Source organism: Homo sapiens, chromosome 15 (assembly GCF_000001405.40).
Source record: "Homo sapiens chromosome 15, GRCh38.p14 Primary Assembly".
Classification (NCBI taxonomy): domain Eukaryota; kingdom Metazoa; phylum Chordata; class Mammalia; order Primates; family Hominidae; genus Homo; species Homo sapiens.
In genome coordinates this window covers 42138742-42158269 of record NC_000015.10, presented here as the reverse complement: position 1 = coordinate 42158269, position 19528 = coordinate 42138742, and the positions used below count along the sequence as shown (strand labels likewise).

At 55.6% G+C, this 19528-nt stretch overlaps 1 protein-coding gene across 4 annotated transcripts, besides 5 other annotated features; it reads left to right on the top strand.

Annotated features, from left to right (window-relative positions):
- Positions 1194-1909: an enhancer, noted in NCBI's record as "H3K4me1 hESC enhancer chr15:42448559-42449274 (GRCh37/hg19 assembly coordinates)". NCBI's record gives its function as "activates a minimal SCP1, AML or CMV promoter by ChIP-STARR-seq in naive H9 embryonic stem cells {active_cell/tissue: H9 hESC(naive)}" and the evidence as "EXISTENCE:reporter gene assay evidence [ECO:0000049][PMID:30033119]".
- PLA2G4F (phospholipase A2 group IVF) lies at positions 1634-19236 on the top strand. Of its 4 annotated transcripts, none has more exons than XR_931785.1 (20): positions 1634-1831; positions 2681-2753; positions 3812-3948; positions 4050-4178; positions 4610-4650; positions 4928-4970; positions 5516-5582; positions 7493-7662; positions 7784-7897; positions 8129-8166; positions 8422-8557; positions 10508-10644; positions 10924-11146; positions 12029-12143; positions 12367-12504; positions 12588-12695; positions 13626-13820; positions 14126-14292; positions 14823-14938; positions 15556-15644. XR_931785.1 is itself a non-coding variant. In NM_213600.4 (20 exons), the coding sequence occupies exons 1-20, from the start codon at positions 1721-1723 to the stop codon at positions 16284-16286; spliced, it is 2550 nt and encodes an 849-aa protein (NP_998765.3). In that variant the 5' UTR covers positions 1634-1720; the 3' UTR covers positions 16287-19236. The 4 variants fall into 4 exon arrangements, 1 of the variants encoding a protein (NP_998765.3); NM_213600.4 differs by lacking the exon at positions 14823-14938 and adding an exon at positions 16066-19236 and having other exon boundaries at positions 15556-15742; NR_033151.2 differs by lacking the exons at positions 2681-2753; positions 14823-14938 and adding an exon at positions 16066-19236 and having other exon boundaries at positions 15556-15742.
- Positions 3701-4211: an enhancer, noted in NCBI's record as "H3K27ac-H3K4me1 hESC enhancer chr15:42446257-42446767 (GRCh37/hg19 assembly coordinates)". NCBI's record gives its function as "activates a minimal SCP1, AML or CMV promoter by ChIP-STARR-seq in primed H9 embryonic stem cells {active_cell/tissue: H9 hESC(primed)}" and the evidence as "EXISTENCE:reporter gene assay evidence [ECO:0000049][PMID:30033119]".
- Positions 7477-7629: a silencer, noted in NCBI's record as "fragment chr15:42442839-42442991 (GRCh37/hg19 assembly coordinates)". NCBI's record gives its function as "represses an EF-1alpha promoter that drives an FKBP-Casp9 reporter gene in an ReSE screen in HepG2 liver carcinoma cells {active_cell/tissue: HepG2}" and the evidence as "EXISTENCE:reporter gene assay evidence [ECO:0000049][PMID:32094911]".
- Positions 7768-8555: an enhancer, noted in NCBI's record as "H3K4me1 hESC enhancer chr15:42441913-42442700 (GRCh37/hg19 assembly coordinates)". NCBI's record gives its function as "activates a minimal SCP1, AML or CMV promoter by ChIP-STARR-seq in primed H9 embryonic stem cells {active_cell/tissue: H9 hESC(primed)}" and the evidence as "EXISTENCE:reporter gene assay evidence [ECO:0000049][PMID:30033119]".
- Positions 11737-12237: an enhancer, noted in NCBI's record as "H3K4me1 hESC enhancer chr15:42438231-42438731 (GRCh37/hg19 assembly coordinates)". NCBI's record gives its function as "activates a minimal SCP1, AML or CMV promoter by ChIP-STARR-seq in primed H9 embryonic stem cells {active_cell/tissue: H9 hESC(primed)}" and the evidence as "EXISTENCE:reporter gene assay evidence [ECO:0000049][PMID:30033119]".
- Positions 19237-19528: the final 292 nt, after the last annotated feature.

Here is a 19528-nt window from a genome sequence, read left to right as displayed (position 1 = left end):
TTGTGCAGTGGGGCCGATGACTTCCAGAAGAGGATGGTACAGCCAGAAAGACACATCAGTCAGGAGCTAGAGCCCCAGCCTGGTTCTGCCCCCAGCTAGCTCTGTGCCCTCTCCTCTTGTATGGATCCGCAGGTCCCCTGCATACATTCACAGCTATCACCAACTGCCAGACTCTCATTTCTTAGAGCCCAGGCCAAGTCTTGGCTTCACAATCCAAATAAAGCAGAAACAGGCCCTTCTTTGGGGCCTGGTCACTGGCAGTCACACATTCCTTTTTTGGGGGGAGTTTCTGGTCTGAACTTGCCCATTCGGTTCATTTTGGAGTTGAATCACATCTTTTTTGGATGTTGTATTTTTCAGCCTGTGACTCTAGGCCTTGGGAAGAGTGGAGATGACTGAATCTTAGTTGAGGGACAGAAATTCTCTCCCTCCCACAGTTCACGGCCCCCGAGATCCTCACTCTTCCTGGAGACTGTGCCTGTCTCAGCCACCTTGATGGTTGTGGTCCACAGAAGAGCGAACATCACATCCATCTGCAGCCTAAGGCCTACGATGGCCAAAGAGAATGCTAAAGCCTGTATATCTGGTCGCTGAAGGATACGTAGACTTGTTGTTTGGCCTGTCCTTATTTATAACCCCCTGCCCATATGCCTGTCTGTACCTGGACACTGTACACTGACCCAGGAAGCGAGCCTGGGCCAAAGCCACAGGGAGTCATGAGACTGAATTTCTCCAGGATGTGGATGGGCCCGCCTCACCTCTGTCACCTTTGCGTTTCTGGGCCTAGCACAGGTCTGGCACCCACCAGGCTCTTGGTGTTTGGCGAATTAATGAGGGTGGTCAGGAGAGATTAAAAACATCTTTGATGAGTTCATGTCCTTTGTAGGGACATGGATGAAGCTGGAAACCATCATTCTGAGCAAACTATCGCAAGGACAGAAAACCAAACACCACATGTTCTCACTCATAGGTGGGAATTGAACAATGAGAACACTTAGACACAGGGCGGGGAACATCACACACCGGGGCATGTCGGGGGGCAGGGGGCATGGGGGAGGGATAGCATTAGGAGAAATACCTAATGTAAATGACGAGTTAATGGGTGCAGCACACCAATATGGCACATGTATACACATGTAACAAACCTGCACGTTGTGCACATGTACCGTAGAACTTAAAGTATAATTAGAAAATATATATAAAGAGAGAAACATCTTTGATCCCAGATGAAACACTGAAGCAGAGATTTCTAGGCTTCAGCTTAAGAGCCGCAGGGAAGGTGGGACTTGAAGGGTGGCTAGTTTCAGGCCTTTTCCACAGCTGGAGGAGACTCTTCCCTGATTTGCACTTGCCAGCTGGTCTCTGGGCCAGCTGTGCCAGCTTCACCTAGAGGTCTTGTTGGAAATAGCTCCGGTGTCTATTTTTCACAAACAGCCCAGTGATAACCAGGGCGCTGGGTTTGGGAACAAGAGTGCTAACCAGAGACCCCAAGAGTCTCTTGGAGAGGGACTGAGCTGCCTCCTGCCTGGGGAAATTAAGCTCCAGTCACTTCCTGGAGCATGTCAAACTCCACCTCCAGCAGGCCATCCAGCCTGAGTTCTCTGCAGAGCAGGCAGCTCCACCCTCCCAACTCAGTGCTGCCTGTCACACCTGAGCCAGCAGTTTGTGCAACCAGAGGAGCGCAGGCAGGGTTCCCTGCTGGGGCCCGGGCTGCCCAGCCATGCTTTGGGCACTCTGGCCAAGGTGGCTGGCAGACAAGATGCTGCCCCTCCTGGGGGCAGTGCTGCTTCAGAAGAGAGAGAAGAGGGGCCCTCTGTGGAGGCACTGGCGGGTAACGTACCTGAGATTACCTGGGAAACCCGGACTGGGGGAGTCCTGGGAGCTGCAGTGCCCTGTGAAGACTGAGACCAGCCCCAGCCCTGGGTTTTGAGTTGGGGTGGGACCTGTTTATTCTAGATGACCTGGCAGAGCTTAAATTAGACCTTGGCTCTTAAAAATAGCTCCCTCCGATTAGGAAATGGAGGGTTAGTTCACTTGACACTTGTCTGGGGTGGGTTGGCTTTCACCAAGGATGCGCGAGCCTGGCTGTAGAGTCCACGGAGCTGGTGGGGTTGTGAGGGGAGAGTTTCCCTCCCAGTAGGCAGCATGCTGATGTTATCTCTCCTAAGCCCAGCTGCAATCTGCTCGGTGACTCGTCAGACCGGTACCGGCCGGCCGGTGACTCTCGGCTTCCGCTCACCTGCTCGCTGCCTCCTAGACGGTCTTTGAGCCTCTGTCAGGGAGCAAGCAAGGGAGGGGGTGTCACAGTTTTCTCTTTTAATATTTAATCTTCTCAAGCACAACATTAGCACAGCTCTCACAGCTGCTCCCAAGCTAGAGTGGGGGCGCGAGCGTCTGAGGGGAGCTGCAGGTGTGTGGTGCGTGACAGCCATCGTTAGTTCAGTGAGTCCGTGCTGGATTTAGATTTGAACCCAGACCGGATGGGTTCCAGGGTCCAGACACATCACGAAGGTGCTGAACTCCCAATGCCTGGGACCCGCCAAGGTCTCCCTGCTCCCCGGCACAGAGACGTCAGTGACCCTATGCCAGGTTGCTGCTCCATGATGGGACGAGGGGAACAATGGGGCGAGGGACCAGGCTCACACTAGCTGACTGAGTCCCTGGAGTTCTGTTATTGCAGCGGGAAACCTACCCATACTATGACCTCCAGGTGAAGGTGCTGAGGGCCACAAACATCCGGGGCACAGACCTGCGTGAGTGACCCCATCTCCATCCTTCTCTCTGTCCTTTCCCTGCGGCTTCCTCAGAGCTCAGCTCAGGCTGGCTAACAGAGAGTGTGTGTGTGTAAGAGTATACATGGGTGAGTACAAGTGAGAGTGCATGTGTGTATACATGTGTGAGTATACGTGTAGGCATCTGTGCAAGTATGTGTGAGTGCAAGTGTGAGTACATGTGTATACGTGTGTGTGAGTGCGTGTATATGTGGTGTAAACATGTGAGTGCGAGTGTGTGGGAACACGAGTGTGTATATACATGCGTGCAAGTGTGAGCGAGTGTGTGAGTGCAAATGTGACTGCGAGTGTGTATACACATGTAGGAGTGTGTGAGTGCAAGTGTGAGTGGAAGTGTATATATGTGAGTGCGAGTGTGTGTGAACGTGAGTGTGTATGTGTGTATACGTGTGTGCGTGTTGTGTATGTGTGTCTGTATACATGACAGTGAGTGCCAGTGTGTGTGACTGAGTACGAGTGTGTGTATATACGTGTGTGTGTGCCAGTGTGAGAGTACTACACATGTGTGCGTGCATGAGTGCAAGAGTGTGTGTGTGAGTGCAAGAGTAGGTGGAGGGACTGGTGCTGACCATGGAGGTGAGGGCAGGCAGGGCTGGAGGGGACAGCTGTGCAGACTCGGCCTCCTCCCTGTGCCTGGGAGTGCCGCCCTGGGTGACAGTGTGAGGCCCGCTGTGGCTACAAGTCAGCACGCGCTCTCAGGGAGCTTTCCATGCCAGTGCCCACACAGGGAGGGGATTTTACTGCCTGAATCAGGCAGTAGCTGGAATTAATGGTCTGTGCTGCCATGGGATCTTTCCAACTGGCTGCCGCAGGATTTCTGTTCAGGTGAATGGGAGGTGTGTGGAATCAAGATGGAGTGAAAGACATCAAGGCTCTCCCTCCACCTCCTCACCCCACCATGCCACGTGGGCGGCTTCCCCTCCCCACTCTGCTCCTTCCCCTTCTGCCCTAGCCTCCCCAAGGAAACCTTTTCAGCAATGAGAGCTTGAGGCCCCGGCCCCTCCCTGTCCTACCTGCAGTGTCCAAAGCCGACTGCTATGTGCAACTGTGGCTGCCCACGGCGTCCCCAAGCCCTGCCCAGACTAGGATAGTGGCCAACTGCAGTGACCCCGAGTGGAATGAGACCTTCCACTACCAGATCCATGGTGCTGTGAAGGTGAGGGCCAGCCAGGGGCCAGGCTGCGGGAGGGGAACTCCTCAGGCAGCTACCCTCCTGTCCTACCTCATGCTCGGACCTCCTGCCTGCCTTGTCCCCAGAACGTCCTGGAGCTCACCCTCTATGACAAGGACATCCTGGGCAGCGACCAGCTCTCTCTGCTCCTGTTTGACCTGAGAAGCCTCAAGTGTGGCCAACCTCACAAACACACCTTCCCACTCAACCACCAGGTGAGCCCACCAGTGCTGGCGGAGAGCCCAGCTGGAGGAGGGGAGGCCCAGCACAGGGCCACCAAAGAGGGGGCTCTGGTCGGCACAGGCCAAGCCTCCAAGGCAGACCTTCCTCCACCCCGCAGCCCTGACCCTATAAAGGTCTCCCTCTAATACATCTTCCTTGCATGAAACCAAAATATGAGCTCCTTGAGGGCTGTGTGTTCCCTCAGTCACAGCTGAATTATCAATGTCTAGAACAGCACCTGACACATATTTTGGAATAAATGAGGTTCTCCATGGAGATACCACTGCCCCTCCTATGTCCATGACAAGCCACAATGCCAGTCTCCCCTTCTAGCCCCTGGAGCCAAGCAGGGCTGGCAGGCAGGAACAGCTCTGGAGGCTTTTGGAGCCTTGAAAAAATTGGTGCTCCCTCCCCCTCCATGTAGGATTCACAAGAGCTGCAGGTGGAATTTGTTCTGGAGAAGAGGTGAGTTCTGGTAGAGCCAACGCCCTCAGAGACTCAGAGATTTGAGTCAGGGCAGCTCCTAGGTGCCAGTCACCATGTCCTGCACTGGCCTTGGAGGCCTGGCCTGGAGGCAATGGCCTGGTCTTGACACCCATCTGCATGTTGGGCGGCAGGCTCGCCCCACTCCAAACCCTGCTGTGTTCCTCATGCTCTGCCCGCTGCTTCAGTCACATTATGATTGTAGAGGCCATCATGATGGGGCCAGATGTATTCTCCATGTATTCCTCATCCTTTGCAGCCAGGTGCCTGCATCTGAAGTCATCACCAACGGGGTTCTGGTGGTGAGTGGGGAAGGCAAGCTTGGCGCTGTTCTGGGCTGGGGGGCAGTGAGGAACCCGTGACAGGGCCCATCAGGCCCAGTTGCCTCTGAAGGACACCCAAGCCCTCCTCGGAGGGGAGATGTGCTAGGGAGGCACCTCCAGAGGGAAAGGACAAGAAGCTGCCAGGCACTTGGTGGACAGCCCAGGACCTCAGCCTCCTACTCCCACACAGCACGTTACTCACTTGGGCCTCTGGCTGCTGAGACCACCGGAGCAGCCACTGTCATGGCCCCTCAACTCCTCCCCCTTTCCCACCAGCACCCACTTCCTCTGAGTCTGGGGAGAGGGGCTAGGTATGACCTTGGGCTGCTGTAAAAGATTCTTACCCGTGAGGCCCAGGTCCTGGGAGGGCTGTTTCCTAGACCCTGCCCCAGGAACTCCTCCCTCCCTCCATCCTGGATGGGGCCATGGCTGTTTCCCAGACCCTGCCCTAGGCACTCCTCCCTCTCTCCATCCTGGCTGGGGCCGTGGGCTGTCTGGCTCCTACAGGCCTCTGCTTTCCTCAGGCTCACCCCTGTCTGAGAATCCAGGGCACGCTCCGGGGAGATGGGACAGCCCCACGGGAAGAGTACGGTGAGTCTGCTCAGCGGCCTTGGGTCTTTTGCCTTCTCTCCCGGGGTTGGAACTACTGATGTCAAGGAGGTGGGTCTGGGGCAGGAAGTTCTTAAAGTTTTCATTGCTCAAAGCCGACTAACGATGGGATGGATTGTTCACTGGAGGCAGTGAACAACCTGTCCCTGGAAGTGTTCGAGCAAAGAGGTTGTATCCGCCCAACTATTGCTCTACAACAAACACTCACATGATCTCAGTGGCATACAAGCAGCATTTATTTGGCTCACACAACTGGCAGTCAGCTGGGCTGGGCTTGGCGGGGGTGGCCCAGCCCTGTGCCATGCGTCTCTCCTCTGCCTCCTGTGACAAGCCCATTAGCCTGGGCATGTTCTCAAGGCATCAGCAGAGGAACAAGAGAGCAAGCCCAACTGAGTAAGCGCTTGTTAAGCCTGGTCACAGCCTGGCCACTACCTAACATGTTATTGGCCAAAACAGGGTTGAACTCAAAGCTGGAGGGCAGGGTATATAGTTGGCCTCTTTAGCGGGAGGAGCTGAAGTCACATGGCAGAATGAGAATACAGGGGAAATGAAGAACTGGGGTTGTCAAACCCAGTGCCACAGAGGACAGCCACCCAGGCAGGGAAGTCCAGATGTGGGATAGCAGCAGTGGCTGTGTGACAGCAAAGGCCCCTTCCAGTGCTGACAGCCTGAGCCTGCAGGATGAGTCCTGCCCAGGGAACCCTGAGTGCTCACTCTGAGGCAGGCCCTGGGCTAAGCATTTTAATGTGCCTTATAATCCTCCTAACAACCCTGTAAAGCAGGCACAATCAGTATCCTCTAATTCATGAGACTGAGGCCCAAAGAAAACACTTGCTCACGGGCACACAGCCAGTAAGTAGTAGAGCCAGGGTCAAACCCAGGTCGGTGACACTCCGCTTCTCTCAACCACGGATTATATGGTTTCTTCTTATGAATAGCACGTCTCCATCTCAGTCCATAGGCCTTGGCATGAATAAAATATCACTTTCCTTATTTTCTTGAATTCCCTCCCCACACTTGGTCATGTCGAGTCTCCGGGCCTCATCTAGTGCAAGGAGGGGCTGTAGGGCAGGGACTCCTCTGGACCTCTCATCCCTCAGTGTCTGCTGTCCTCGCATACTTTGGGTCTCTGTTGCTTCCATGTTGTGTTAGGGGCTGGGACTCCTGGGAGGCTGTCTGCGGCCCCCTCTGCCCGGATGTCATGTGCAGCCATTTCTCCCTGGGGTCTGGCCTCCTCCCCAGAAAGCTGCTGGGAAGCTGGGCAGGGAGCTCCGGAGCCCACAAGCCCACCCCCTCACTCCTCCCAGCCTGGGCCTCATCTTCCAGTCTGGGCTAGCCCTCCGCCGCTTCTCCAGGACGTGCATCTCTCTGTACCCACGCATCCCATTCTTCCTCCTCCCGCCTCTACAAACCTTCCTCTCCCAACGTTCTACACTTGGAAACAAAGGCCAGAACAACTTGCAGCCTACTGGTTTTCTCTTGGGCCACAAACCTCCAACACAATGAGTAAAGAGGCTGAAGTGGGGCAAGCGGGAAACCACTGCCTGAAAACTGCTCATTCTTATGATAAACATAGAATCATCTCAAATCATCAGCCCCACAGGCTCTGGGCAGGGCCCCTCTCCCTCCCCGCTCCCTGCCTTCCCCTCCAGGCATTTGTGTGCTTCCCACCCTTCCCGAGTCCCAGTTCTGACCAGGGCAGGCTAGAGGACCCAAGAGTCCTTCCAGAGGCTTTCTCTATGAGCAGTGCTCAAGAGAGAGCGGGCGATAAGAGCTGGCATTTCCTAGGGGAAGAGAAGGGAGGGGTTGCTGCTGGGGCGCTGCCAGCATAAGCCGCAGAGACACAGACCCACCCCCTCACCTGCGCACCCACCTGGGCCCTCTGCTCTCAGGCTCTAGGCAGCTCCAGCTGGCAGTGCCTGGAGCCTACGAGAAGCCACAGCTCTTGCCCCTGCAGCCTCCCACAGAGCCAGGCCTCCCACCCACCTTTACCTTCCACGTGAACCCAGTGCTGAGCTCCAGGCTACACGTGGAGCTGATGGAGCTGCTGGCAGCTGTGCAGGTGAGTGCGCCGCCAGGATGGTCGGTAGATCCAACTCAGCCCAGACTGGCGTTCCAGGGCCACGTTGGGGGAGACTTTTCTTCCCTGCTGGAGAGCTTCTTGGGTGTTTTCTTTTCCACAGAGTGGCCCCAGCGCAGAGTTGGAGGCTCAGACCAGCAAGCTGGGCGAGGGGGGCATCCTGCTCTCCTCTCTGCCCCTAGGCCAGGAGGAACAGTGTTCTGTGGCCCTGGGGGAGGTAAGGCTCTGTCTGGGTGCCAGAGGGACCCCTGCCTGCTCTCTGTGACCACCAAGAGAGGTCTGGAGGAGGGACCCAAGAGGGTGGCTGGATCAGGTCAGTCCAGAGGTCAGTTATGATGTCCACATCGGGCCAGAGATCGCAGGGCAGCAAGGGCTGCAGGTGGGGGAGCCATTTCCCTGGGAGAATCCTGCCCAGAGAACTCAGGGTTGGGGCTGCTGTGTCTTTCAGGGCCAGGAGGTGGCTCTGAGCATGAAGGTGGAAATGAGGTGAGTGGGACTCCAGGCAGAAGGCCTCTTGGGGCTGGGCTAGAAGTGCGGGGACATACCCCAACGTGCTCCATTCTCTTGCCCAAGAAGCTCAGGCCGTGGGGTGGGGATGACATTTTTCCCTCCCTGGTTCTGGTGCTGGTGGGCGGATCCCTTGGACCTGCTCCTGTGAAAGACCTGGGCTGGGCCCAAGGCTCTCCTCCACTGGACAGTCACCCAGAACCCCCCACCGCCACCCCACCCTACTTGAGGCAGCTCCGGGGACCTAGACCTACGCCTTGGCTTTGACCTCTCTGACGGGGAGCAGGAGTTTCTGGACAGGAGGAAGCAGGTCGTGTCCAAGGCCCTGCAGCAAGTGCTGGGATTGAGTGAGGCTCTGGACAGTGGCCAGGTACGTAATGGAGGAGGAGCTGGACCCCAGAGCCTCTAGGACTAAATCAAGTCTCTTCCCTTGAGAGGACCAGCATGGCTAAGAGGGGCCAGAGGAGGTTGGCCTGTTCACCTGAGCTGTGGGCACCATCGGCAGAGCTAGGACCCCATATGGGACCAGGGCCAAACGGCCCTGGCCAAAGCTGGATGTCTATGTGGGCCGCCGTAACAAAACCCCACAGACTAGGTGGCTTAAATGACAGAAATGACTTTTCTCTCAGTTCTAGGGGCTGGAAGTCCGAGATGAAGGTGTCATCATCAGGGTTGGTTTCTGCTGGGTTCCCTCTCCTCTTCCTGGTGGAGCTGTCTCGCCATGTCCTCATGTGGCCCTTCCTCTGTGCATGTGTGCAGAGCGTGCGCCTTGGGGTCTCCTCCTCCTCTTCTAAGGACCCCAGTCCTATCAGTTGAAGGCCCTACCCTTACTCACTTCACCTTTATTACCTCCTTGTAGGCCCTGTTTCCAAATACTGTCACATTGGGGGTTAGGGCTTCAACACAGGAATTTGGAGGGGGACAGTTGAGTCTGTAATGTGATCAAAGGGATGTGGAGGTTGGGGGGTCCCTGGGATCCTCTGGGTATAGAGACAGCCAGCCTGTGGCCAGGAGGCAGGAGGAAAGGCGTGCTGAGAGAGGGACTTACAGGGGATCAGGAATAGGCTGCCGGCTTCCTCCAGGCTGCCTGAGTCCTCAGGAGACGCTATCACTGTGGCCCAGCGCTGACAAGGCTAGATCGTTCATTGGGGCAATATGTATGCCCTCTCTGTGCTAGGTGTCTGCTCTGTCTCATCCAGCACTCTGAAGCGACAGCGCCTTCTGTGAGCAGTGGCCAGGGAGCATTTTTTCAAGACAGGAGACGAAAAGAGAACAGGGAAAAGAACAAAAATCCAGAGTGGAATGAGCCAAATCTTACTGGGAAAGCTAAGCAACCAAAAGCATGGACTCTGACCCCTCAGGCACCTCCGATCCTGAGACCTTAAAACCTCTGGGCACCTTTGGTGCCTGGGGGCAGGTCTAGGCTGCTTGCTGGCCTTTGTCACTTTAGCTCGGTGGTGCTCAACGGGGGACAATTTAGTTCCTCCCCACCGCACCCCTGGGGACATTCATCCATGTGTAGAGATCGATTTCATTGTTGCTGCTGGGGAAAGGGGAGGTGGAGGGAGGCTGCTGACTTCTACTGGGTAGAGGGGGCCAGAAATGCTGCTAAACATCCTACAACACACAGGACAGTCCCCACAGCGAAGAGCTACCTGGTCAAGAATATCGAGAGTGCCACGGTTGAGAGGAACCTGCTGTAGCTGATTTTGGGGAATCAGATATACCTTCCAGGTCTATATCTTCCAGGTCGAATGGTTAAGGGCTATCTCTGGAGCCATACTGCTTAGGTGTGAGAGCTCATCACTTAACTGTATGATCTTGGGCACATTATTTAACCTTCCCGTGCCTCAGTTTCAACATCTGGAAAATGGGGTTCTCTCTTTTTTTTTTTTTTTTTTGAGACGGAGTCTCGCTCTGTCGCCCAGGCTGGAGTGCAGTGGTGAAATTTCAGTTCACTGCAAGCTCCGCCTCCTGGGTTCACGCCATTCTCCTGCCTCAGCCTCCAGATAGCTGGGACTACAGGCAGGCGCCCACCACCATGCCCGGCTAATTTTTTTGTAGTTTTAGTAGAGACGGGGTTTCACCGTGGTCTCGATCTCCTGACCTCATGATCCGCCCGCCTCGGCCTCCCGAAGTGCTGGGATTACAGGCGTGAGCCACTGTGCCTGGCTGAAAATGGGGTTCTCATTGGGTTGCTGTGAGGATTCAATGAGATAATACGTGTAAGACTCTTAGAATAATGTCCTACATGTATAGGCAGTAATACGTCAATGACGGTGGTAGTCGGAGTCGTTATCCTTGTTATTATTGTACCCAGGTGCCTGTAGTGGCTGTGTTGGGTTCCGGGGGTGGAACCCGAGCCATGTCTTCTCTGTACGGCAGCCTGGCAGGGTTGCAGGAGCTCGGCCTTCTAGACACTGTGACCTACCTGAGTGGGGTCTCTGGGTCTACCTGGTAAGTGAGGTGGGGGCAGGGCACAGGGTAAAGGAGACCCCACAAAGTGTGGGGTTGTGACCTGGTGATCTTAAGGAGTCCCTGAGGGGCTGGGATCCTGCCTCCCAGGGTGTTAGGAGGGGCAGGAAGAGGCTGAGTCCCAAGCGCCCCTCTGAGTTGGGTTGTTTGCAGGGCAGCAGTGCAAGTGGTGGGGGTGGAGGGCCACTCACAGACTCTGCACCCCTCTCTCCCGTGGCTGTGCTCTCCTGCCCCTGACTCAGGCACACCTCCAATCCCCAGGTGCATCTCCACACTCTACAGGGACCCAGCCTGGTCCCAGGTGGCCTTGCAGGGCCCCATTGAGCGTGCCCAGGTTCACGTCTGCAGCAGTAAGATGGGAGCTTTGTCCACGGAGCGGCTACAGTACTACACTCAGGAACTGGGGGTCCGGGAGCGCAGTGGCCACAGCGTGTCCCTCATCGACCTCTGGGGCCTCCTTGTTGAGTATCTCCTGTACCAGGAGGTGAGAGAAGAGCCAGAAGGAAATACGTAGGCTCCTCTCCACTCCTTCCACCCGCCCCTTGCTTCTGCCTCATCCCTCAGGCTAAGATCTGATTTACAAAGCTGTTCCTGAGCTCTCGGCTCCCCTGGGGCCAGGAGTGTGACTCCAGGGTGGGCTGGTACCATTTTGCCTCCCTAGCTCCTAACCCCTGGGGAGGAGGAGCCTGGTCCGCAGCGCTCAGCTCTGGGTGCATATTAGAATCACCGGCGCAGCTTTTCAAACACACCCATGCCTCGGCCCCCCTTCCAGAGAGAGTGATTTTAGTTGTTCTCAGGATGTTTTGAAAGTGATTTCAGCCCACACCTGGAAGTGAGGCCCAGCGCCACACCCACTTCTCAGCCAATTCCGCCATAACTCACTCCGCCTGGCTGCTCCTGGAACTTCAGACCCAGCTGCAGTTCCAGGCGATAAGATTCGGAGCTGCTCCCCACCACCCCGTGTGTGGAGATCAGTTGTGGGTGGATATCACAAGTGATTTCTCATTTCTAAGTAAATAATCCACGTTTTCTAGTAATTTATTTTTTAAAGAAATTGGACTGGCTTTTCAAGGATTCCTTTAACCATGTCACCCTGACTCCCTGGTGTTCTGATACGCTGTTTTGAATAGTAAAGAAGGAGGGAGGGTGTTCCCATAGTCCCTGGAATTGTACAGACCCACTGTGGGCTCCCCTTGGCTGCGGCCTGAAGCCTGTCCCTCAGAGGGCTGTCCTTACAGCACTGGCCTTGGCGACCCAAAGCCTCTCTTGTGGGCACACCACGCCTTGCAGGGTGCCGGCCCCAGGCCACGGGGATGGGGAATGGAACTCCTGAAAGGCCAAGCTGCCTCCCTTCTTTCCTGCCCAGGAGAACCCTGCCAAGCTGTCTGACCAACAGGAGGCGGTCCGCCAGGGTCAGAACCCTTACCCCATTTACACCAGTGTCAACGTCCGCACCAACTTGAGTGGGGAAGATTTTGCAGGTGCCTGGGTGTGGAGACGAAGGAAGGAGGTAGAGGAGGTGGGGAGGAGGAGGTGAGAGGCCAGGGTGATCAGGGTACCCAGAGGAGGTGGTTGCACACAGGCACCTTGGAGCACAGCGGGGCTGCTGCTTCTTCCTGTCATTGTCAAGGCTAAGATTCCTGCTTGGGCACAAGCACCGTGGTGGGAAGCCCCTGGTGACTTTCCCTTCACTCGGGCCCCTAGAGTGGTGCGAGTTCACGCCCTATGAGGTTGGCTTCCCCAAGTACGGGGCTTATGTTCCCACCGAGCTCTTCGGCTCAGAACTCTTCATGGGACGATTGCTGCAGCTCCAGCCTGAACCCCGGATCTGTTACCTGCAAGGTGAGTCGAGGCTGGAGGGCTGGGGACAGGCAGGTGCCGGGGCCAGGCCCTGACGTGGGGTGGGGGCCTGCCTGTCTCCTTAGGTATGTGGGGCAGCGCCTTTGCCACCAGCCTGGATGAGATCTTCCTAAAGACCGCCGGCTCGGGCCTCAGCTTCCTGGAGTGGTACAGAGGCAGTGTGAATATCACAGGTGAGGGTAGCGACCCCGAGCCCCTCCCACACCACATTCCAGCAACAGGGCCCTGGCAGAGACAAGAAGAATGAGGGAGGGGACAGAGAAGGACTTGGCTGTCCCACTGGATTCGGGGAAGTCCTGAGGAAATGACTTCTAGCTTAGGGTGTCTAGATGCCCAGAGGTATGATCAAGCCACACCTCTGAGTTCTCTGTTCTGGGATCCAATTAGGTCCACTCGGTGCAGGACTACTGGGTATTGGGTTGATACTCTGTCTGCCCCTCTTCAGCCTGGTCCTTAAATGGCTCATGGGGGCCCCACGGTGCAGAGCACCCTTCCCGCTTTTCTCCCCTGGATCACTTTTGCTCTGTTCTTCAGTTCAGCTCAGATGTCATTTTCTCAGACATCCCTTTTCCACTCCATCCCTCCAGGATGCCTGAGAATCTTACCACCATGGTCCCCTAGGACCATGTGCACATCCCTGTCGTCGTCCTTACCCCGGAGCATTGTCATCATTTATTCTCTCTTTATGTGACTTTCCCCCACAAGTAGGCCGTGCACCTGGGAGGGCCAGGGCAGGTCCCGTTCACCTTCACAGCCCTCATGCCTAGTGCAGTGCTGGGCATAGTAATTGCTCAGTCAGTGTTTAATGGACGAAGTTCTGATTGGAAGCTGTAGACTCAAACTTTATTTTAGGAAGGGTGAAAGATAAATTATTATTTAGTAAATGCTGTAGGCAGTTTTCAAAACATAGAGGATACAAAAGAAAAAGTCGTTTCAAAGTGGTTCAATGAAGCATTGGTCAGAGGCTTGGGAGGTGGGGTCAGGGAGGAGGAGGGATGTGGGGAGGGCTCACTGTTGGGGAGGGGCACCCCTGAACTATAAGGACCACTGGGCAAAGGAGGATGCCACTTTCCCCTCTATTTCACTGTCCCGCCCCTGTCTAGACGACTGCCAGAAGCCTCAGCTGCACAACCCCTCGAGGCTGCGAACGAGGCTCCTCACCCCACAGGGGCCCTTCTCCCAGGCTGTGCTGGACATATTCACCTCCCGCTTCACTTCCGCCCAGAGCTTTAACTTCACCCGGGGTCTCTGCTTGCACAAGGACTATGTGGCTGGCAGGGAGTTCGTGGCCTGGAAAGGTGGGTGCTGCCTTGGGTGGGAGATGGGGGGCTTCCCTTCCTGCCTGCACCTCTGGCTCACTGGAGCCAGTGCTGGCTTTGGGCTGGGGGTTGAGGTGTGGTCTCCTGCTGCCTATGGGCTGATGCGGAGCGACTCTAAATACTGCTGGAAGCTGGAAGGCAGGGCCAAGGGCTTGGGGCAGGAGTCTCCATGGCTGTCAGAGAGAACTCTACAGAGAGAAGGCAAACGTGAATGCAAATACAGAAGCGGTTGCTAGCAAGAGTAACTGCATTCGTCCCTGTGCGTACACATGGGTTCCTTGCAGACACACACCCGGACGCCTTCCCCAACCAGCTCACCCCCATGCGGGACTGCCTGTACCTGGTGGACGGAGGCTTTGCCATCAACTCTCCGTTCCCACTGGCTCTGCTGCCTCAGAGAGCAGTGGACCTCATTCTGTCCTTTGACTATTCCTTGGAAGCCCCTTTTGAGGTGAGCTGGGAGGCAGGGATGTGGGGAGCACCTGCAGTGAGTGGACAGAAAGGGTGAGGGAGGAGAGGAGGGGAAAGAAGGCTCTGGTGAGGGGGACTGGCTGGGTGTGTGGGGATTGCCCTTTGTGGACGGCCTGGGTTCCACTCTGTGTGTGAGGGAGCTGCCTTCTGAACGCTGTTGGCAGCACAGGTCTCCCAGTTGCAGGAGAGTTGCTGAGATTATGGTGGGCGTGGGAAGAGGAGGCCAAAGAGGGTCCCCAGGAATCTTCTAGCCTCATCCATAGAAGATCCCCCAGTTCTAGACTCTGCCCATTCATGACAGATTTCCCCACTCCAGCTTGGACCTGAGTCTGTGGCCCCTTTGTTACCATGGTAACAACAGAGCCATGAGGGTCCCCTCTGATGCAGAAGCCCTGCAGCAAGTCCCTCCATCTCTGCTGGGTGGTGGACGGATGCCCCCATTCCCATGTGGGTGCTGGTGGTGCTGCTGGAGCAGCCCTTCCTTTGGTCTCCTCTTTGTCCTGGGTCCAGTGAGAGCCTGGGATTGACTGGGGATTGATGAAGCCTCTTCTGACGTGGACCTTCTGTGATTGTCGCATGTCAACCTTGTGAAACTGACATCAGCTTCTAATAGGGAGCAGAGAGGGGTGAGAGAAGGGAAGACCATGGTGGTTCCTGGAGGACCATGGCGGAATGCTGTTGAGGCAGTGGATGATTGATTGTTGATCATTACTGATTATTGTTAATCTTCACAACACCACTGGATGGGGAGCTTTTTTTTTTTTTTTTTTTTTTTTTTTTTAGATGGAGTCTCACTCTGTCACCAGGCTGGAGTGCAGTGGTGCAATCTTGGCTCGCTGCAACCTCTGCCTCCTAGGTTCAAATGATTCTCCTGCCTCAGCCTCCCGAGTAGCTGGGACTATAGGCACACACCACCATGCCCAGCTAATTTTTGTAATTTTAGTAGAGACGGGGTTTCACCATGTTGGCCAGGGTGGTCTTGATCTCTTGACCTCATGATCTGCCAGCCTCGGCCTCCCAAAGTGCTGGGATTACAGGCATGAGCCACCATGCCCGGCCGGAAGTTTAAAAATTTTTTATTTTACACATGAGAAACCAGCTCAGAAAGGAGCTGTCACCTGCCTGAAGTCACTCAGCTAGTCAGAAACAGAGCTGGCATTGAAGCCTGGGCGTGTGTGAGTCCAGGGCGGCGGGAGTGGCCAGGGTGGAGGAAAGGCAGAGTCAGAGGCTTGCTCCTGCTCAGGTCTTGAAGATGACAGAGAAGTACTGCCTGGACCGAGGAATCCCCTTCCCTAGCATCGAGGTGGGCCCTGAGGACATGGAGGAGGCCCGTGAGTGCTATCTGTTTGCCAAGGCTGAGGACCCCCGCTCCCCCATTGTGCTGCACTTCCCCCTGGTTAACCGTACCTTCCGCACACACCTGGCCCCAGGTAAGGGAAGCTCCAGGCCTGGGACTGACCCACAGAGCCCTGGGATGGTGATGGGACGCTGTTCTGAGGGTGGGTTCCCTGGAGAATGTCACTAAGCACGCCTCCTGGTGGGCCTGAGCTGGCCCCTGTGGCCCTCTGCTCCCTGGGTCTCAGCGTTCAGATGGGGCCAGCCCCTCCTGGGGGGTCTGAGAGCTGAGATGTGGCCCAAGCAGGGCCCGCAGGGAGCCAGCCAGGTGTCCTGCACAAGGAAGACTTCTGGGCTGTTCCAGCCAGTTCCACAGAGGGCTCCATCCTGGCCTCTCCTCTGCTTCCCCCACCCACAGGTGTGGAGCGACAAACAGCTGAGGAGAAGGCCTTTGGGGACTTTGTCATCAACAGGCCAGACACCCCCTATGGCATGATGAACTTCACCTATGAGCCCCAGGACTTTTATCGGCTGGTGGCCCTCAGTCGATACAACGTCCTGAACAACGTGGAGACCTTGAAGTGCGCCCTCCAGCTGGCTCTGGACCGGCACCAGGCTCGGGAGAGGGCAGGGGCCTGACCAAGGCAGGAAGCGGAGGACTGTGACAGAGAGGAGACACACTGCTCATGGTCAGGGCTTGTAGAGGGAGGAGCGATGGGGACTCTGTGCAGGATCTGCTTCCCTTCTCTCCAGGACCTGCCTCGAGGTGCCCCAGGCCCCGGAAAGCTCTTGCAGAATTGCAGCTTGGACTGGGGCAGGGCTCTCCTTGTGTGTTTTTGGAGAAGATGGGCAGTAGATCGCTCCAGGGACTCTTGGGGATGTAGGGCAGAAGAGAACAGCACTCATTTCACAGCGGGGTGTGGAGAGAATCAGGTGAGCCACAGAGCCCACCCCAGACACAGAAGGACCTCAGAGGGCCCAAGTCCTCAGACCCACACAGAACAGGGGCTGAGGGCACTGAGAAGCCAGCTGTCCTCCTTACACTGAGATGGAAAGCAGAGATGCATCCATCCACACTTCCTGCAGAGCGGCCCAAGCCCCAACCCCACCTCGAGCTCCTGGATGCACTGCTATCAAGAACAATGAGGGGCTGAGGGGATGGCCAGCCTATGTTGCTGACTCCATCATCCTAACCCTCCTTCTGCCTTCTGGTCTCCTCGTGCCTCCTCCCAGATCACCCTTCTCTTCCCAGCGCCCTAAAGCCTGTGGGGTGATGTCCCATTCTGGCTGCTCCAGGTGGGAGATGTGCGCGTGTCTCCCTGCCAGTTACCCAGGCTTCACTCTTCGAACCTGGACCACAGTCTCTGGTGATGTGTGTAGTGGCCACATCATGCAAATATAGTCTCACCATTCCTAGGAGCTAAATGGGTGTGTCTAGTAGGGGCATCAGTTCATCGGGGGAGAGGTGTGCACCTGTATGTGGGGCAGGAGGGTGTGCAAGTTCCTGGAGGTGGGTTACTCCAAGGCATGGGCAGTGCAGAGGGAGCCTCGCCTGGGCTCTTGCCTCTTTCCCAGATGCATCCAATGGGTCTTGGCAAGTTTTGTTTCTCACTCTCCCTCTTCTCCATTTCCCCTGACCCGCCAGGGACTCTCCAAATACCTAGAACCTCTCTAGTGTGGGCAGCCCTCAGATTCGTGAAGAGGAGATCCCGTTCTGGCCAGGCCCTCTCCATCTGGCCACGGCCTCTGCAGCATATGCCTCCAGTGCTGAGCTGCCTAGGAGCCTGCAGCAGCACTTGAGACCTTGTTCCTTCTGCCCCCTGTCCCAGGGGCTCCCTCTTGGCTGCACCCCCTGCTCCATGCTCTCTCACACAGACACGCTGTCAGGAACACCTGTGCTGGGAAGCCTTACCTGTCCTGAGTCTGGAAAGAAGACTAGTTCTGGTTTCCAGGTTGGGGAAGGGTGACTGGAGCCCAGCCTGTGTCTTGGCCTGGCCTGGGATCTGCAGCCCTCCAGCTGGCATGAGTTGCGAGGGCTGGGGGAGCCAGTTATTTGGGCTGGCATGGGGTGGGGACACCTCAGTTCTCCTCTGCCTCCTCACCATGGCTGCCTGTCACAGGCCACGGCCCCTCCCCTTGGTTCAGCAGTGAGAGGTTTATCTGGGAGTTTATCTGGCTCCTGCTGTGGCCATTGTCATCAACACTGCTGTGCCTGCCGTCATCAATAACTTGTTAGTAAAACCTTCATAGGGTTCACAGCTCAGAACTGCACAGCGTTCACAACTTAGAATCTGTGGTGTTTCTTCAGTGCCCATTAGAGCCTCAGGCTGTCTCTGGCTCCTAGAAAGTCATTCTACCATCTGTTTTGTTCACTGCTGTATCCTCAGTGCCTAGAGCAGCAGTTGATACATGGTAGGTGCTCAGTAAATATTTGATAAATGAATGGGAACCTACATTCTAAGAAATGGATCGTCACCCACCAACCACAAAAAAGCATGCAATGCTTTCATGATTCCTAACCCATGTGGACTTTTTGAAGAGCTGATATAAACCACAGACCCTCTCCCAAGAAAAAGGCATACACACACACATGAAAAGTTGCTTACAATAAGGTCTCTGCTTCAGCTATGTGATCAGCAGCCCCAGGGTTGCAGAGGCCAGCGTCTGTCCCCGCAGGCCAGCAAGGCTTGTGAAGGAGGCAAACGTGGGCTTGTGCAGAGTGGGCGGGGACCTTCTCACACAGAAGTGTAGGCAATGCCACTTGTGCTCAGATAAGGTTTGGGAGGAGACTGGGACAAGATCAAGGGCAGGGGGCAGGGGGCAGGAGGCTGGGCTAGTGCTGTGGCCCAGATATTGGCCAGAAGTACAGGGAGGATCTCAGCCAGGGATGGGGAGGCTCCAACAAGACTGAATCTGGGAGCCACGCAGAGCAAGAAGCCAGGGGAGGGGCCGAAGGTAACCCAGCCAGTTTAATGTCTGCTCCTCAGGAGAGATCTGAGTCTTTACCTCATTCCCAACCCTTATCTGAGATGGCTGGAAATAAGCTTCAGGGTCCTGAAGGTGACAGAGTTGGAGGGATTTGTCTAGAAGAGCAAGCATGGTTTCCCTTGAAGCTGGGTAGAAACACAGGAGCAGGGACATCATTCATCAACTTGTCAGAGCTCCTCATGAGGCAAGGGAAGAAAAAGGGGGCCACAAGTGTAGGAGATTGGTCAGAGTGGTGGGAGAAGCTATAGGGAAAGGAGCAGGCCTTCTGAAAGGTTGGAAGGCTCTGCATAGCTTTGGAGGAGAATAGCTAAAGACAGCTGTTCTATAACCCTGAGGCAGAGGGCAAGGAGTAGGTACGAGGGAGTGTGGGGGAATTTATCTTAAACAGGCTTGTTTACTTCTGTTGACCAGGAACTGACCTTTGATCATCTACGCCCATGACCTTCCCTGAAAGGGGAACAATAAATGTTAATTACCTCCAGTGTTTGCTCCAGGCTTTTGGCATTGTGCCTGCACTGAATAAAAGCAAGCAGCTCCAGCTTCTCAGGGCTGCACTTTGGCCACTTGAGCTGGGCAGTCCCCTAGCTGCTCTTACACTGCATACCTGTGTCTGAGTACACATTTCATCCACTGCTCAGCCAGGGTCGCTCCTCAGTGAGGAGGTATCTGAGTCCTTACCTCATTTCCAACTCTTGTCTGAGATGGCTGGAAATAAGCTTCAAGGTCCTGAAGGTGACAGAGTTGGAGGGATTTGTCCAGAAGAACAAGCATGGTTTCCCTTGAAGCTGGGTAGAAACACAGGAGCAGGGGCATCATTCATCAGCTTGTCAGAGCCCCTCATGAGAGAAAAAGGGGGCCACAAGCCTGTCACATAGGGCTGCACAGGTTGTGCA

Coding starts and splice junctions, on each gene's coding strand:
- PLA2G4F (NM_213600.4), top strand. CDS start 1,721: ATGCTTTGGGCACTCTGGCCAAGGTGGCTGGCAGACAAGATGCTGCCC. Junction 1,832..2,680: donor CTCTGTGGAGGCACTGGCGG/GTAACGTACCTG, acceptor CTGTTATTGCAG/CGGGAAACCTACCCATACTA. Junction 10,645..10,923: donor GGGGTCTCTGGGTCTACCTG/GTAAGTGAGGTG, acceptor TCCAATCCCCAG/GTGCATCTCCACACTCTACA.